Source organism: Homo sapiens, chromosome 1 (assembly GCF_000001405.40).
Source record: "Homo sapiens chromosome 1, GRCh38.p14 Primary Assembly".
NCBI classification, from domain to species: Eukaryota; Metazoa; Chordata; class Mammalia; order Primates; family Hominidae; genus Homo; species Homo sapiens.
Window position 1 is genome coordinate 182,915,018 of NC_000001.11, and position 19,972 is coordinate 182,934,989.

The window sequence follows — 19,972 nt, forward strand, 5'->3', positions numbered from 1 at the left end:
ATTAGCCAGGCATGGTGGTGCATAATCCCAGCTACTCAGGAGGCTGAGGCAGGAGAATCACTTGAACCTGGGAGGCGGAAGTTGCAGTGAGCTGAGATCGCACCATTGCACTCCATTCTGGGCAACAGAGGCAGACTCTGTCTCAAAAAAAAAAAAAAAAAAAAAAAAAAAAAAAAAAGAATCTCACTTTAGATTCAAAGACACAAGTAGGTTAACAGTGAAAGAATAAAAAGATATTCTGTACAAACAGTAATTGAAAAAGAGCTGGGGTGGCTACACTAACATTAGATAAAATAGACTTTAATAACACAATTGTTGCTAGAGACAAAGAAAGGTATTATATATTAACAAAAGAGTTAATTCATCAAGAAGATGTACCAATAAGCATATGCAAACCAAACAACAAGGTCTCAAAATGTATGAAGTAAAACATTCACAGAATTGAAGTAAGAAATAGTTTTATAATAATAGTTGAAGATTTCTATACCACTTTCAAAAATAACTAGAACATCTAGACAGAAGAACAATAAGGAAATAGAGGACTTGAACAACAGTATAATCTAACTAGACCTAACATACATATATACACTGCCCCCCAAGTCCAACACAAAAGGATATGCATTCTTCTGGAATGCATATGGAACATTCTCCAAGATATACCATCTATTAGGCCACAAAACAAGTCTCAATAAATACATCTTCTCTGACTACAATGGAATTAAAGTAGAAGTCAATTATGGAAAGAAAACTGAAAAATTTAGACATATGTGAAAATTAAACAACGTATTCTTTTTTTTTTTTTTTTTTGAGACGGAGTCTCACTCTGTCGCCCAGGCTGGAGTGCAGTGGCGCGATCTCGGCTCACTGCAAGCTCCACCTCCCGGGTTCACGCCATTCTCCTGCCTCAGCCTCTCGAGTAGCTGGGACCACAGGCGCCCGCCATCACGCCCGGCTAATTTTTTGTATTTTTAGTGGAGACGGGGTTTCACCGTGTTAGCCAGGATGGTCTCTATCTCCTGACCTTGTGATCCGCCCCTCTCGGCCTCCCAAAGTGCTGGGATTACAGGCGTGAGCCACTGCGCCCGGCCTGACAACATATTCTTAAATAACAAATGGCTCAAAGATGAAACAAAAGGAAAATCTGAAGATACTTTGAGATAAATGAAAATGAAAACACAACATACCAAAATTTATAGGATGCAGGAAAAACAGAGCTCAGAGAGAAATTTATAGCAGTAAATGCCTACATTAAAAAAGAAAGATCTCAAATCAGCAATCTAATTTTACAACTTAAGAAACTAGAAAAAGCAAATTAAACCCAAAGCCAACAGTAAAAGGAAACGATACAGATTAGAGTTCAATGAAATAGAGAATAGGAAAAATAAAAACAAAATCAAAAATTAATTTTTTGAAAAGATCAACAAAATTGACAAAAGTTTAGCTAGACTAAGAGAAAGAGGAGGCACAAACAACTAAAATCAGATATGAAGGTAGATACATTACTACTGACCTTAAAGAAATAAAAATTATTTATAATGATATTCTATGATTATACTATCATTATATGTACACCTATGAACAATTGTACACCAACAAATGCACTGATTTCATACCAACAAAAATTAAGTATACAAATTCCTAGAAACACACAGTTTACCAAAACTGGCTCTAGAAGAAATATAAAATCTGAACAGACCTGTAACAGTAAAGAGATTAAAAAATCAGTAAGCAAAAATCTCCCAACAAAGAAAAGTCCAAGATCAGATAGCTTCATTGATAAATCTACCAAACATTTCAAAAATTAACACCATGAACACTAAATAATAACTTATGAATGCAAAGAGGAAAACAACAGACACTGGTGTCTACTTGAAGGTAGAGGGTGGGAGGAAAGACAGGAGCAGAAAAGATAACTATTGGGTACTGGTCTTAATACCTGGGTGATGAAATAATATGTATAACAAACCCCCATGACACGAGTTTACCTATGTAACAAATCTTCACGTGTACCCCCAAACCTAAAATAAAAGTTAAAAAAAAAGAATTAACACCAATCTTTCCCAAATTCCTCCAAAATCTGTGAGAACACTTCCTAATTCTCAGGCAAGCATTATCTGATAACAAAGCTAGACAAAAATACCAGAAGAAAAGAAAACTATACAGCAATATTCCTTTTGAATATAAATGCAAAAATCCTCAATAAATCCTAGCAAACTGAACTCAACAACATATTTAAAAGGTTATACATGATGATGAAGTGAGATTTATTCCAAGAATTCAAGAGTGATTTAATATACAAAAATCAATCATAACACACCACATTAATAGAATGAAGGGGAAAAATAAATTACACAATAATCTCAATTGATGCAGAAAAAGCTATGCCCAGCTAATTTCTGTATTTTTAGTAGAGGTGGGGTTTCATCATGTTGGCCAGGCTGATCTTGAACTCCTGACTTCAAGTGATCCACCCATCTCGGCCTCCCAGAGTGCTAGGATTACAGGCGTGAGTCACTGCACCCGGCCAGAAATTTATTTTCTTACAGTTCTGGAGGATGGAAGCCCAAGATCAATGTGTCAACAGATTTGGTTTCTTCTGAGCCTCTCTCAGCTTGCAGGTGGTTGTGGTTTTGCTCCCTCTTCACATGGTCATCCTTCTGTGCACATGCACTCCTGATGTCTTTTTCTGTGTCCAAATTTCCTTTCTTTTAAGGATATCAGTCAGACTGGAGGAGGGCCAACCCTAATGGCTTCATTTTAATTTAATCATCTCTTTAAACACTTGCTCTCCAAATATGCTTACATTTTAGGGTACTGGGGTAAGGACTTCAATATATGAATTTTGGAGGGACGCAATTCTGCCAATAACACCCCAAAGTATCAGAAAAGACAATGATGCCCACTTTTGCCACTGCTGTTCAACATTGAACCAGACGTCCTAGCCAGAGCAACTATGCAAAAAGAAATAAAATGTATCCAAATTGTAAAGGAGGAAGTAAAACTTACTGTTTGCAGATGACATGACCCTATATATACTCTCCTCTCTCTCTCTATATATATATGTATATATACACATATATATGTATATATACACACACATATATACGTGTGTGTGTATATATATACACATATATATACACATATATATACACACATATATACATATATATACACATATATATACATATATATACACATATATATACACATATATATATACATATATATACACACATATATATCTCCAAGGAATGCACCAAAAACATATGATAGCTAATAAACAAATTCAGCAAAGTTGAAGGATGCAAAATCAGAACACAAAATCAGTTTTGTTTTTATATATCACTAATGAACAATCTGAAAAGAAAATTAAGAAAATTCCATTTACAATAGCACACAAAATAATAAAATGCCTAGAAATAATGTAAACCAAGGAGGTGAAGGACTTGTATACTGAAACTACAAACCATTGCTCAAAGAAATTAAAGAAGGTCAAATAGATGAAAAGCCATCCCATGTTCATGGATTGGAAGATTTTAATATTGCTAAAATAGCAATACTACTTACATTGATCTACAGATTCAATGTAATCCCTATCAGAATTTCAATAGCCTTTTTTTTGAAGAAATGAACATGCTCATCTTCAAATTAATAATGAATTGCAAGGGACCCTGAACAGCCAAACAATACTGAAAAAGAACAAAGTGGAGGACTCACTCTTCTGATTCCAAAACTTACTACAAAGCCACAGTAATAAAATAGTGTGGTACTGGCATAAAGATAGGCATATAGACCAGTGGGATAGAACTGAAAATCCAGAAATAAACCCAATTATGGGCAAGTGATTTTCAACAAGGGTTACAAGATCATTCAATGGGGAAAGAATAGTCTCTTCAACATATGGTGTTGGGACAAATAAGTATCTACATGCAAAAGGATAAAGCTGAACCCAAACCCAACACCATATACAAAAATTAACTCAAAATTGATTAACAACCTATATATAAGAGCTAAAACCATAAAACTCTTAGGAAAAACCATAAGGGTAAATCTTCATGATCTTGAACTTGGCAGCGGATTCTAAGGTATGACACAAAAGCATGAGTAACAAAAGAAAAAATAAATTTCTGCCTTAGTCTATCTGTGCTGCTGTATAACAGAATGCTACAGACTGTGTAATTTATAAAATAAATTTATTAGCTCACAGTTCTGGAGGCTAGGAAGTCTAAGGTCAAGGCACTGGCAGGTTTGGTGCCTGGTGAGGCCATTCTCTTCCAAGATGGCACCTTGCCTGCCACTTGGATCCTCACATGGCAAAAGGCAAGAACTCTGGAGAGGAACTCTGTCTTCACATGGCAGAAGAACAACAGAGGCAGAACCAGCTCCCATAATTCCTTTTTATAGGGGCATTGATCCATTTGTGAGGGCCCTATCCTCTTGAAATACCTCCCATTAGGCTTCATCTCCCAACTCTGTTGTGTTGAGGATTAAGTTTCCAAAACTTGAGTTTTGGAGTGGGGCAAAAACATCCAAACCAAAGCAGCTGAATTTCCTCAAAGTTAAAAACTGTAAGGCATCAAGGGACATTATCAAGAATGTAAAAAAGCCTAGGCACCATGCATAGACCACTAGGTGAGGGATAAGGTAATTTTGGGCAGGTCAATGGGTCAAAGCTAATTTCAATTATAAGCATAAAACTGGAATGGTCGTTCACTGAGGAAGATCAAACTGGGTGTTTGTTTTAACATTTATTGAATTTTCTAACTATGGATCCATGTTTCTTATTGTTACCAAACTTGATAAAGATCTGAAAGTTGGAGGCCATGACTTGCTTGTTGTAACATATTAAATCAAGAAAGAGGGATCCACACAGCCTCCCCCTACCACATCATCCCCCACTGCTTTGGAAGTGCACACATACAGGCAGACGTCACCACCCCTCCCCTACCAGCACACATGCATGCACACTTTGTTGTCCTGCCACCACTAGCACTAATGCATACATACAAACACCACAGTCCCACCCTCGCTGGCACCCTGCCCCTGCTGATACATGCACACCCTGCTGCACCGCTGCCACTGTTGGCACATATGCAGGAGCACAGACCTGCTGCCACTGCCCCAACAAAGGGCTTTGGTTAGCACTCACCATCGAAGTGTTGTTACCAGCAGACTGTGAACACCTCAGCCCCTCCAGTGCAGGAGGTGATTAACCTTGAGAGGCCAGAGAACAAACCTGTGCTGTGGGCCTGGTACCAGCCCCCCAGGGTTGCGCATGCAGCCCAGTAGTACTGAGGTAAGAATTGGACCCCTGACATCTTCCAGAAATGAAGCCAGTTGACTGAACCTACCTTATACCACAGTAAAACCCTCACACGCATCAAAGAATATAAAAGCAAAAAAACCCCATCCAAAGGACATCAACTTCAAAGGAACATCGGCCCAAGCAGATGCGAAAAAAGCAGTGCAAGAACTCTGGGAACTTAAAAAGCCAGAGTGTCTTCTTACCGCCAAACAACCACACTAATTCCCCATCAATGGTTCTTAACCAGGCTGAAATGACAGACAGAATACAGAATCTGGATATGAACTAAGATCATCAAGATTTAGGAGAAAGTTGAAACCCAATCCAAAGAATCTAATGAATCCAATAAACAATACAAGAGCTGGAAGATGAAACAGTCACTTTATGAAAGAATCAAACTGAACTGATGGAGCTGAAAAACTCACTCCAAGAATTGGAAGTATTAATAGCAGAATAGACCAGGCTGAGGAAAGAATCTCAGAGCTTGAAGACTAGTCCAACAAAAATAAAGAAAAAAGAATAAAAAAGAATGAACAAAACCTCTGACAAATATGGGATTATGTAAAGAGACCAAACCTACGACTCATTGGCATCCCTAAAACAGAGGGAGAGAAAGCAAGCAAGCATATTTCAGGATACTGTACACTAAAAATTTCCCAACCTCTCCAGAGAGGTTGACATTCAAATCCAGAAAAAGCAGAGTACCCCTATGAGATACTATACAAAATGACCATCCCCAAGACATAGTCATCAGATTCTTCAAGGTCAACGTGAAAGAAAAAATATTAAAGGCAGCTAGAGAGGAGAGGCAGGTCACCTACAAAGGGAATCCTATCAAGCTAACAGTGGACCTTTCAGCAGAAATCCTGTAAGTCAGAAGAGATTGGGGGCCTACATTCAGCAATCTTAAAGAAAAGAAACTCCAACCAAGAATTTCATATCCACCCAAACTAAGCTTCATAAGTGAAGGTAAGAAAATGCTAAGAAAATTCATTACCACCAGACCTTACAAGAGGTCCTTAAGGGAGTGCTAAACGTGGAAATGAAAGACTGTTATTTACCACCACAAAAACACACTTAAGGACATAGACCATTCACACTATAAAGTAACTGCACTATCAAGTCTGCATAACAACGAGCTAATAGGTTTGTTAGGTTTGTTTTGACAGGATCAAATCTGCACATATTAATATTAACCTTGAAAGTAAATGGGTTATATGCCATACTTAAAAGGCACAAAGTGGCAAGTTAGATAAAGAAGGAAGACTCAACTCTATGCTGTCTTCAAGAAATCCATCTCAGGCAGGGCGTGGTGGCTCACACCTATAATCCCAGCACTTTGAGAGGCCAAGGAAGGTGGATCACCTGAGGTCAGGAATTCGAGACCAGCTTGGCCAACATGGCAAAACCCCATCTCTACTAAAAATACAATAATTAACCAGGCGCGGTGGCAACGTGCCTGTGATCCCAGCTACTTGGGAGGCTGAGGCAAGAGGCAGAGAATGCAGTGAGCTGAGATCACACCACTGCACTCCAGCCTAGGCGACAGAGCAAGACTCAGTTCCAAAAAAAAGAAATCCATTTCACATGCAATGACACCCATAGGCTCAAAGCAAAAAGATGGAGAAAAATCTACCAAGCAAATGGAAAACCAAAAAAAGCAGGGGTTACTATTTTAATTTCAGACAAAATAGACTCCTAAACCAAGAATGATTTTAAAAAGACAAAGAATGGCATTACATAATGATAAAGGGTTTGATTCAACAAGAAGAATTAACTATCTTAAATATATATAATCCCAATGCTGGAGCACCCAGATTCATAAAATAAGTTCTTAGAAACCTATCAGGAGACTTAGATAACCACACAACAGTGGTGCAAGACTTCAACACCCCACTGACAGTATTAGACAGATAATTGAGGCAGAAAATTAAGAAAGATGTTTGAGACCTGAACTCTACACGACCAAATGGACCTAACAGACATCTACAGATCGCCTGAGGTCAGATCACTTGAGGTCAGGAGTTTGAGACCAGCCTGGCCAACATGGTGAAACCCCATCTCTACTAAAAATACAAAAAATTAGCCAGGCATGGTGGTGCATGCCTGTAATCCTAGCTACTTGGGAGGCCAAGGCAGGAGAATCGCTTGAATCTGGAAGGTGGAGGTTGCAGTGAGCCAAGATCATGCCACTGCACTCCAGCCTGGGTGACAGAGCGAGACTCCATCTAAAAAAAAAAAAAAAGAAAGAAATCAATACTAAGAAGACCTTTCAAAATCATACAATTACTTGGAAATTAAGCAATCTGCTCCTGAATGACTTTTGGGTAAACACTGAAATTAACACAGAAATCAAAAAATCAAAAAATTATTTGAAACTAATGAGAACAAGGATATAACATACCAGAAACTCTGAGACACAGCTAAATTAGTGTTAAGAGGAAAGTTTATTCTGCTAATCGCTCACATCAAAAGGTTAGAAAGATCTCAAATTGACAACCTAACATCACACCTGGAGGAACTAGAAAAATAAGAGTAAACCAATCCCAAAGCTAGAAGAAGAAAAATAACCAAAATTAGAGTGGAACTGAATGAATTTGAGATGTGAAAAACCATACAAAAGATCAACAAAACCTTTGTTTTTTGAAAGAATAAATAAGATAGACTGCTAGCTAGACTAAGAGAGAATATCCAAATAAACATAACCAGAAACAACAAAAAGGACATTACTACTGACACCACAGAAATACAAAAAAACCCTCAGAGGCTATTACAAACACCTCTATGCACAAAAACTAGAAAATCTAAAGGAACTGGATGAATTCCTGCAAACACACAATCTCCCAAGATTGAACCAGGAAGAAACTGAAACCATAAACAGACTAATAATGAGTTCCAAAACTGAATCAGTAATAAAGAGCCTACCTACCAATCAGAAAAAGCCCTGAATGAGACAAATTTACAGCTGAATTCTACCAGACGTATAAGAGTTGCTACCAATCCTGCTGAAACTATTCCAAAACATTCCTCCCTAACTCATTCTTTGAGGCCAGCATGATTCTGATACCAAAACCTGGCAGAAGCATCAAAAAAAGTAAACTTCAAGCCAATATTCCTAATGAACACAGATGCAAACATCCTCAACAAAATATTAACAAACTGAATCTAGTAGCACATCAATGACCTAAGTGGCCATTAGTCAAAAAGCTAATCCACCATGATAACATTAGCTTTATTCCTGGGATGCAAGGTTGGTTCAACATACAAAAATCAATAAATGTGATTCAGCACACAAACAGAACTAAAAACAAAAACCACATGATCATCTCAACAGATGCTGAAAAGGCTTTCTATAAATTCAACATCTATTCATCTTAAAAACTCTCAACAAGCTAGGCACTTAAGGAATATACCTCAAGATAACAAGAGCCATCTATGACAAGCCCACAGCCAACATCATACTGAATGGGCAAAAGCTGGAAGCGTTCCCCTTGAAAAACAACAAGACAACGATACCCACTCTTACCACTTCGATTCAACACAGTACTGGAAGTCCTAGCCAGAGCAATCAGGCAAAAGACAGAAATAAAAGGCATCCAAATAGGAAGAGGGGAAGTCAAATTATCTCTTTAGAGACTATATGATTTTATACCTAGAAAACCTCATAGCCTCTACCCAAAAGCTTCTAGATCTGATAAACAACTTTAGCAAAGTTTCAGGACACAAAAATCAATGTACAAAAATCCATAGCATTTCTATACACCAACAATGTCCAAGCTGAAGAACTAAATCAAGAACACAATCCCATTCACAATGGCCACACACACAAAATAAAATACCTAGGAATACAGCTAACGAGGGAAGTGAAAAAGCTCTACAACAAGAATTGCAAAACTACAAAATGCTGTTGAAAGAAATAAGAGACAACACAAACAAATGGAAAAACATTCCATGCTCAAGAATAAGAAGAATCAATTTTTTTTTTTTTTTTTTTGAGACGGAGTCTCGCTCTGCCACCCAGGCTGGAGTGCAGTGGCTGATCTCAGTTCACTGCAAGCTCTGCCTCCTGGGTTCATGCCATTCTCCTGCCTCAGCCTCCCGAGTAGCTGGGACTACAGGCGCCCACTACAATGCCCGGCTAATTTTTTGTATTTTTAGTAGAGACGGGTTTCACCGTGTTAGCCAGGATAGTCTTGATCTCCTGACCTCGTGATCCTCCCGCCTTGGCCTTCCAAAGTGCTGGGATTACAGGTGTGAGCCACCGCGCCCCGCCAAAAGAATCAATGTTGTTAAAATGACCATGCTGACCAAAGCAATGTACAGATGCAGTGCTATTCCGATCCAACTACAAAAGAAAGGAAAGGAAAGGAAAGGAAAGGAAGAAAGAAAGAAAGAAAGAAAGAAAGAAAGAAAGAAAGAAAGAAAGAAAGAAAGAAAGAAAGAAAGAAAGAAAGAAAGAAAGAAAGAGAGAAAGAAAGGAAGGAAGGAAGGAGGGAAGAGAGGGGTGGGGGAAGGAGGGAGGAAGGGAGGGAGGAAGGAAGGAAGGAAAGAAGGAAGGAAGGGAAAGACAAAGAGAGAGAGAGAAAGAAAGGAAAGGAAGGAAGGAAGGAAGGAAGAAAGAAAGAAAGAAAGAAAGAAAGAAAGAAAGAAAGAAAAAAAAAGGAAGAAGGAAAGGAAGGAAGAAAGGAAGGAAGGGGAGGAAGGGGAGGAAGGGAAGGAAGGGAAGAAAGGGAAGGAAGGGAAGGAAGGGAAGGAAAGGAAGGAAAGGAAGGAAAGAAGTGAAGAAAGAAAGAAGGAGGGGGAGGAAGAGGGATCACATATGAAATAGTGAATAAGGTTAACAGCAATGACAGTGATCACGGACAGGCAATGCTCCTAGCATCCCCTAAGTGGCAATAAAGCGCACAAAAGGAAGTGAAAAAGCCTAAGGAATGGGGGGTAAAAATTTGCAGAGCATATATCTAATAAGGGTCTAGTATTCAGAATATATAAATAACTCTTATAGTCAATAACAAGAAGACAAACAACCCAATTACAAAATGGGATATGAATTTAATAGATGTTACTCCAAGGAAGATACACAAATGGCCAACAAGTCCATGGAAAGATGTTCAGCATCTTCAACATCATTAGTCATTAGTTAAATGAAAATCAAAACTACAATGAAATACCACTTCACATTCGCTAGGATCACTGTAATTTTAAAAATAAAAGAAAGAGAAAAAATAAATAATAAAAAAAGATAAAAGTTTTGGTGAGGACTGGAGAAATTGGAACTCTAATACTTTGCAGATGACAATGTGAAATGTTTCAGCCCCTGTGAAAAACAGTTTGGCAATTCCTCATAAAGTTGCACATATGACCCAGTAATTCTAGTCTTTGGTATATACCCCAAAGAATCGAAAACAAGTAGTCAGACAAACTCTTGCACACAGATGTTCACAGCCCCACTTTCCCCAATAGTCAAAAGGCAGAAACAACTCAGATATCCACCAACTGATGAATGTATAAGCAGATCATTGTATATACATACAAAAGGATATTATTCAGCCAGAAAAATGAATGAAGTACTGATAAATGCTACAATGTGGATGAACCTTATAAACATCATGCTAGATGAAAGAAGCCAGACATAAAGGTCAGATATTTTATGATTCCATTTATATGAAATATCCAGAATCATAAATCTACAGAGACAGCAGATTGTTGGTTGTCAGGAGGTGGGGGAAAGGGGAAATGGAGGTATGGGGTTCTGGTTTTGGGTAATGAAAATGGTTAGGAACCAGACAGATGTACACAGCATTGTGACCCTACTAAATGTCAATGAATATCACTTTAAAACAGTTAATTTTGCTATGTAAATTTCACCTCAAGTTTTTTAAGAAAGGAAAAAAGATACCAAAAAAAAGAAGGAATAACTGAGAGCACACTGTCTCTGAGGAGGCAGATGGCAACAGAATCAGTAGTACAGATGGAAGAAAACTGATTAAATTCTTCTTTGTACTTCGTATATTTTCAGACATGGTTATCACCTTCTGTAGCACTTCAGGAAAAATCTGGCAAAAATGATGGCTATATTATTGGGATATAAACTGCAAAATAGTAATAATAATATCAGTTGACATTTATTTATGTGCTAGGCATTTTGCTAAAAGATTTATATAAATTATTTCACTTAAGCCTAACACTCTATGGGACAGACTTCATTATTCTCTTTTACAGATGAGGAAATAAGAGAAACCATGTAATTTGTTTAATCTCATAGAAATATTAAGAAGCAAAACTGTGAATCAAATCCAGGTTTTTATGATCTTAAAGTCTATGTTCTCCAACATCACACTATACCGTCTCCAGATTGAAAGAAGGAAAAGCCTGTGATCAACAAGAGGATAAAGGCCTATGATACACAATGGGAATACCACTGTTTCTCCTAGATCTGGGAGAATGACTAATGTTTAACTTTAGTTCAGAAACTGAAACAAGTGGTAAACATTTATTGAGCATTTACTATGTGCTGGGCATTATTCTAAGCATATTACAAATATAAACTCATTTAATCTTTACAGCAACTCTATAAATATGAAACATAGGATTATTATCCCAATTTTACATATGAGAAACTAAACTACAGATGGGTTAAATAATTGGTTGAAAATCACCTAACTAGTAAGTGGCAAAACCAAGAATCCAGGCAATTTGTCTTTAGAGCCCATGCTCTTAACTAGCACTATATATATATATATATATATATATATATATATATATATATATATATATATATATATATATATACTCTCTCTCTCTCCTTTTAAAGCATTCTGCAAGTAAGGAAATTGAGGCTTAGAGGTTATGCGCTTTGCCTAAGATTGTTTATTAAGTGGTCTCAGGGTATTTGAACATTGGGTATCTAACTACAAAGTCCATGCCTTTCCACTGCACTGCTTGTAAAGATCACCAACATAAGATGATGGGCATGAATAAACTGCGTCTAAGGGGTGGGTATAGAGCAAGAATTCTCAGTCAAGAATCTTCAAAGATGAGGAAATTGTTAAAGCTTACATGCACAGCAGCCGGGCGCGGTGGCTCACGCCTGTAATCCCAGCACTTTGGGAGGCTGAGGAGGGCGGATCACGAGGTCAGGAGATCGAGACCATCCTGGCTAACGGGGTGAAACCCCGTCTCTACTAAAAATACAAAAAATTAGCCGGGCGTAGTGGCGGGCGCCTGTAGTCCCAGCTACTCGGGAGGCTGAGGCAGGAGAATGGCGTGAACCCGGGAGGCGGAGCTTGCAGTGAGGCGAGATCACGCCACTGCACTCCAGCCTGGGCGACAGAGCGAGACTCCGTCTCAAAAAAAAAAAAAAAAAAAGCTTATATGCACAGCTATACTACTATCAAGCTATATTTCATGAACCTCAAAAGTAAATCTAAAATCCAAGGTCTAAGTAAACTGGAAGCTGATGATACTTTCTCCTCACAGTAGTCTCCCTCTAATTATTCTGGCCTCCAAAGTTCAGGTATAATTACACAAATGAAAACAGAATTGCAAAGCACTGAACAAAAAAAATCATAGAAATTTCTGTCATATAAGAAAGTGAATAAAGCCAGGACCTATTTAAAAGTGAAAAGGAGAAGTAAAAATAAAAATGACAAAATAAAGCTGAGGATAAAAGCAAGATTTATACCTTTTTAAAAAGATGTTTTAAAAGGTGTTTATAAAGATGTTAGTGGAATAATCAACATGATTGAATAATATGCTCCAATAAGTAATTAAAAGGAAAATTAAATTTTGTTGAAAAGAATAAAAATTGGTAGAATAGCAGACAAGACTATCTAATATGCCAGCTTTATCTTTCATCACTCTCTTAGATGTTAACCACCAGCCTTGGTGGCCTTCTTTCGGTTCCTCATATATACTAACCTCTCTTGTTACATACACTAATTTATTCATTCACCAAAAATTGCTGGGCACCTACCATGTACCAAGCATCATGCTAGGTGACTGGATGAGTGGTAAATACTCTTTGCTCTCAAGAAGCTCACATACTAGTGAAAGAGACAGACATTAAATAGCCACAAAAGTGTTAAATGTAGTCATGATAAAGGAAAGTGTCAATAGGGAAAAATACAAGGTACTATAATTGTATACAGCAGTCTAATGTATTATGAAAGGTTGAGAAGGCCTTTTCCTGTGGAAATATTTAAATCAAGACCTGAAGGATGAACAGTGGCTCAGCAGGCAGAGGAAACAACACAGCTTATCCCAGGATGTAGGGTGAGTGAAGGAAAAAAGTGAGTGTGTATGAAAGTGATGAGAAATATGAACAAGATAACTCCCAGAAAATTGTTATTAGCAACCAAGTAGATGATGGTACCATTTATTGAAACAGAGAACTCCAGAATGAAAGCAAGTCAATGGGATAAGATTATGAAATTAATTGCAGACAATTAATTGATGTACTGGTGAGACAATTAAGTGGTCATAAGCAATAGGCAGTTGGACACATAGGTTTGGGGCTTAGAGCAAAAGTTTGGGCTATGCAAATACATTCTGGAAAAGTACCTGTATATATAAGTGAAGTTATGGGAGAAGATTAGCTAAATCACTTTGGGATAATATAGTGCATAAAAAAGACAAGTACCAAGCATTTAGAGGACATGAGAAAAAAAGTAACTAGAAAGAATGAAAACCTTGAAAGTATACTAACATAAAACAAGGAAAGAGATTATTTCAATGAGAGAGATTTGAAACGCTACTGAGAGGTCAAGTGAAATGAAAATATTTGCTCTTTGGCTCAGAACATTTGTTTGTTCTTGAGCTGGATAAATTTATATTCATCCTTCAGGATTCAGCTGAGTTATTTCTTCTATTCAGCATTTCCAGACTCCTAATTCTGTCTTATGTACCCATTCTACATGTACCGGGTACATATCCTTATCATAGCATTTATCATTCTGTGTCATAATTGTAACTGCCTATATACTTGTGTCCATATTTCCACCATGCTTGAAATTTTCAAATGTGTGAAGAAGGAAGACTGTGGGTCTGGATCAACATTTTGTCTCCCCTAAATGCAGTCTTTCTCACGTTTATGTCTCATCTTCACCAAGCAACTAACATAGTACCTGGCTACAAGGTTAGTACTCAGTAAATAGTTGTCACCATTTATTTATTTAGTATCTATTATATGGCAATAACTGAGCTGGAGGTAGTTGAGAAAATAAGGCATTAATGATTAGACAAGGACTCCACCCTCAGGGAGCTTCTTTTCCGATTATACACAGCTAATACTTAAATAACAAATAAGAATAGTTTATTTCTTACCATTTCAGTAGTCATCATTTTTGCTACAATATGTGTTATAGTCTTTCCAAATTCTCTTTTTCCTTTCCTACGCCTCAGAATTCTTGGAAAGAAAGGTCCATGAACTCTATAGTTGAAAATATTTAGTTATAATTAAATTAACATGAAAAAGACTGACCTTGTCCTTACTTGTAAATAAAAACTTGGTACTAAGCATCTTTGAGAAATGTTTTCATCAATTATAAGTTCCTTGAGAGCAATGAGCAACTTGAGAGCAATGTAATGATTCAGATCTTTTAGATCACTGCATGTTTAAATCCTTAAACTCTAAAATATTTTCATTTTAATTGATAGTACCTGGAAATCTGCATGCAACCCTCTGCAACCATTGCCTCAGCTACCTCAACCTTCCAATACAGTAGAAAAATTTCCGGGGTGTACTTTCATAATCCATTGAGTTGTAGACTCACACAAAGATGGGTTATGCCTGTGACAGGGAGGCATCAGAATATTTTCGAATATACATAATTTTAGATACTATGCTCAATTAATATATCGTTTTGTTTCAAAGGATATTATCTCCATAAAATAGTTGGCTGTTGGTCTCCCAGCAGAACTGTTCCAGCTTCTCTCTTAGTTGTTTTTATATTGTTTGCTATTCAGCACTTCTAATTAGTTCTTTCTCTTCTTCCTGCTTTTCTTTATGTTTCCTGTTCGTATCTCTATCATTTAAGTGTCTCCAACAGAAAGTCAGATAAAAAGTTTCAGTATAACTGTTGGCTTTTATCATTACTGTCAGCCAAAAGGGACACTCTTTTTCCAATAGATAAGGATTTACCAGTAATCTCTTTAGTGTAATCTTTTGCATTCTCTGCTGCACTTTGATTAGTGCTTTATGCTAAGAGGATGTGGCTTTAGTGTGTGTGTATATATATATATATATATATATATATATATATATATATATATACACATATATACATATATATATATTTTTTATTAAAGACAGGGTCTTGCCCTGGAGTATATGTGTGTGTGTGTGTGTGTGTGTGTGTGTGTGTGTGTGTGTGTGTGTGTGTATATATATATATATATATATGTATTTTTTTTTTTTTTTTTTTTTTTTATTAAAGACAGGGTCTTACCCTGGAGTGCAGTGGTGCAATTATGGCTTACTGCAGCCTTGACCTCCTGGGCTCAAGCAATCCTCCCACCTCAGCCTCCCCAGTAGCTAGGACTACAGGCATGTGCCACCTTGCCTGGCTTTTTTTTTTTTTTTTTTAAGAGGCAGGGTCTCATTACATTGCCCAAGCTGGTCTTGAACTCCTGGCCTCAAGCAGTCCTCCCACCTTGGCCTCCCCAAGTGCTAGGATTACAGGCATGAGCCTGGCCAGTACCAATATTTTTGAGCTGTATCTCAATTATTATATATTTTTGTAAAACTTATGATTTCAGGAAACTTTCTAATAATTTTCTATGCAAGTTATTAAAAACTGAATTTAAACATATAGCAGTATCCTCCAAAAGTTTCGTTAAACATTTCAAAATCAAACCCACTCAGCATTTTTATATCTATTTAAGCAAGTGGTCTTGATCTTGAGAAACAGGGAACCATTCATACACTTTTTTTTTTTGCTATATACCAGTTAATTAGCTGCTCCAAAAGTAAGACATCCTAAACATTCAGGAAACCACAGTAGTTTATCATGCTATCCTAGTTTTAAAATCAAAGGTATATATAGGTGTTTTTTAATCAGGTTTATTAAGGTATAATTTACATACAAGGTATTCATTTTAAGTGAACTATTCCATGAGATTTCACAAATGTATATATGTTTTTAACTCAATCACAATAATAAAGATATAAAAAATTTCCATCATACTGGTAAGTTTCCTCATGCATCTTTGCAGTCCTGAACAAACATTGGTCTGCTTTCTGTCATTACGTATTTCCCTTCCTTCAAATTTTTCTTAATAGGCTTTATTTTTCAGAGCAGTTTCAGATTTTCAGCAAAGTTGATCAAAAAGAAGAGAGTTCCTGTGTATCCCTTGTTCCCCCCGCACACACAACCTGCCCCACTATCAATATCTGGCACCAGAGTGGTACACTCGTTACAACCGATGAACCTATATTGACACATCATTATCACCCAAAGTCCATAGTTTACATCAGAGTTGACTCTTGGTGTTGTCCATTATAGGAGTTTGGACAAATGTATAATGACATGTAGCCACCATTATAGTATAATACAGAAGAGTTTCACTGCCCTTAGAATTCTCTATGCTCTGCCTCTCCCTTAATACTTGGGAACCACTGATTTTTTTTTTTTTTTTTTTTTTTTTTTTTTACTGCCTCCACAATTTTGTCTTTCCAGAATGTCATATAGTTGGAGTCATACAGTATGTAGCCTTTTCAGATTGGCTTCTTTCACTTAGTAATATGCATTTAAGTTTCTTCCATGTCTTGTCATGGCTTGACAGGTCTTTTTCTTTTTAGTGCTGAATAACATTCCTTGTCTGGGTGTCCCAACATTCCTTGTCTGGGTGTCCCACAATTTATACATTCACCTGCTGAAGGACATTTTGGTTGCTTCCAAGTTTCAGCAATTATGAATAAAACTGCTATAAACAACCATGTGCAGGTTTTTGTGTGAACATAAGTTTCCAACTCATGTGGGTAATTATCAAGGAACATGATTGCTGGATCATATGATAAGAGCATCTTTAGTTTTGTAAGGAACTTCTAAACTGTCTTCCAAAGTGACTATACTGTTTTTCCCACCAGCAATAAGTGAGAATTCCTGTTGTTCCACACCTTTCTAGGAATTTTTTATGGAATTTTATTATTTATTTATTTATTTATTTATTTATTTGAGTCAGAGTCTCGCTCTGTTGCCAAGGCTGGAATGCAGTGGCACAATCTCAGCGGCACGATCTCAGCTCACTGCAACCTCTGCCTCCCGGGTTCAAGCAATTCTCCTGCCTCAGCCTCCCAAGTAGCTGGGACAACTGGCCTGCACCACCATGCCTTGCTAATTTTTGTATTTTTATTAGAGATGGGGTTTTGCCATACTGGCCAGGCTTGTCTCGAACTCTTGACCTCAGGTGATCTGCCCACTTCAGCCTCCCAAAGTGCTGGGATTACAGGCGTGAGCCATCCTGCTCAGCCTCTCAATGGAATTTTAAAGTAGAATAATATACTATGCATTCTTTTGTGTCTGCTTTTTTCACTCAGCCTATTTTTGAGATCCATCCATGTTATTGTTATTGTGTGTGTTAGCAATTTACTTTTTTTTTGGAAACAGAGTCTCACTCTGTCACCCAGGCTGGAGTGCAGTGGTGCGATCTCAGCTCACTGCAACCTCTGCCTCCCAGGTTCGAGCAATTCTCCTGCCTCAGCCTCCTGAGTAGTTGGGATTGCAGGCACACACCACCACACCTGGCTAATTTCTGTATTTTTAGTAGAGACGGGGTTTCACCATGTTGGTCAGGCTGGTCTCGAACTCCTGACCTTGTGATCTGCCTGCCTCAGCCTCCCAAAGTGCTGGGATTACAGGCATGAGCCACCTCACCTGGCCAGCAATTTACTTCTTTATATTGCTGAGCAGTATTTCATTATAGGATTTTCTATATACAAGACCATGTCATCTGTGAATAGAGATAACTTTACTTCTTCCTTTCCAATCTGTATGCTTTTTATTTCTTTTTCTTGCCTAATTGCTCTGGCTAGAACCTCCAGTACAATTTGAATAAAAGTGGCAAGAGTAAATATCCTTATCATGCTCCTGATTGTAGGGGGAAAAACATCTCTTCTTTCACCACAAAAAATGATGACTCTAGCTGTGAGTTTTTCATAGATAGCCTTAAACAGGTTGAGGAAAATGCCTTCTATTCCAAGTTTTTTTTAGAGTGTTTATCATGAAAGGGTGTTAATTTGTCATATGATTTTTCTGTGTCTATTGAGATGACTGTGTGTCTTGTTTTTTTATTCTATTAATATTATATATTATACTGATTGATTTTCGTATTTTAAAACAACATTGGATTCCTGGGATAAATCTCACCTTAGTCATAGTGACTGATCTTTTTATATGTTGCTGGACTCCATTTGTTAGTATTTTGTTGAGGATTTTGTATCTATATTCATTAGTGATATTCGTGTAGGTTTTCTTTTCTTGTGATGTCTTTGCTTTTGGATTCAGAGTAGTATATTGGTCTCACAGAATGAGTTGGGAAATTGTTACCTTTTATTTTCTGGAAGAGTTTTTGAAGAATTAGTGTTGATTCTTCTTTAAATGTGTGTCACAATTCACCAGTGAAGACATCTAGTCCTTGACTTTCCTTTGTGAGTAGTTTTTCATTTGCTAATTCAATCTACTTAACTTGTTATAGAGCCAGTCAGAATTTATGTTTCTGCTTGAATCATTTTTGGTAGATTGTGTCTTACTAGGCATCTGTTCATTTATTCTTGGTTATCTAATTTGTTGGCTTATTTATACTATTCCTTTGTAATCCTTTTTATTTCAGTGTAGGTTTTTATGTGGACCTAAGTTTTCAAATTAATTGGGTAAATACCAAGTAGGATTGCAACTGCTGAGTCCTATGGTTAAACTATGTTTCACTTTGTAAGAAACTGCCGAACAGTGCTCTAAAGAGGCAGTACCATTTTGCATTCTAACCAACAAAGAATGAGAGTTCCTTTGCTCAACATTCTCAGTAGCAATTAATATTATCAGCTTTTTGGATTTTAGCCATTTCTAATAGGTATGTAATGGCATCTCACTGCTGTTTTAATTTGCAACTTACTAATGACAAATGAGGTTGAGCATCTCTTTATATGCTTTTTTCTGTCTGTGTGTCTTCTTCGGTAAGGTGTCTATTCAGATCTTTGCCCATTTTTAATTGGGTTGTTTGTTATGTTTGAGTTTTATGAGCTCTTTGTATATTTTAGATACAAGTCTATCAGATATGCATTATGCAAATATTTTCTCCTAATCTGTGGCTAGTTTCTTCATTCTCTTAATAGTGTATTTTTCAGAGCAGTTTTCAATTTTAACAAAGTCCAACTTATGACTTTTTTCTCTCACATAACATACAGTATTGTTGTGGTACCTAAAAACCCACTGCCAAACACAAGATTATCTATAATTTCCTATGAGTCTTATAGTTTTGAGTTTTATGTTTAGGTTTATGGACCACTTTGAGTTAATTTTTGTGAAAGGTCTGTATCTAGGTTCACGTTTTTGGATATAGATATTCAATTATTCCAGCACCATTTGTTGAAGAGAATATCCTTTTTCTATTACATTTCTTTTGCCCTTTGTCAAGTCAGTCTACTCTATGTGTGGATCTTATGGACTCTCT

At 37.0% G+C, this 19,972-nt stretch overlaps 1 protein-coding gene across 2 annotated transcripts in view; it reads right to left on the reverse strand.

Annotated features, from left to right (window-relative positions):
• Positions 1-19,972, reverse strand: part of SHCBP1L (SHC binding and spindle associated 1 like) — a 53,302-nt gene that overhangs the window by 15,153 nt on the left and 18,177 nt on the right. For both annotated transcript variants that reach the window (NM_030933.4, NM_001345928.2), the window contains one exon: positions 14,630-14,735. In NM_030933.4, coding sequence (NP_112195.2) covers positions 14,630-14,735 — 106 coding nt within the window. The remainder of the gene's footprint in view (positions 1-14,629; positions 14,736-19,972) is intronic.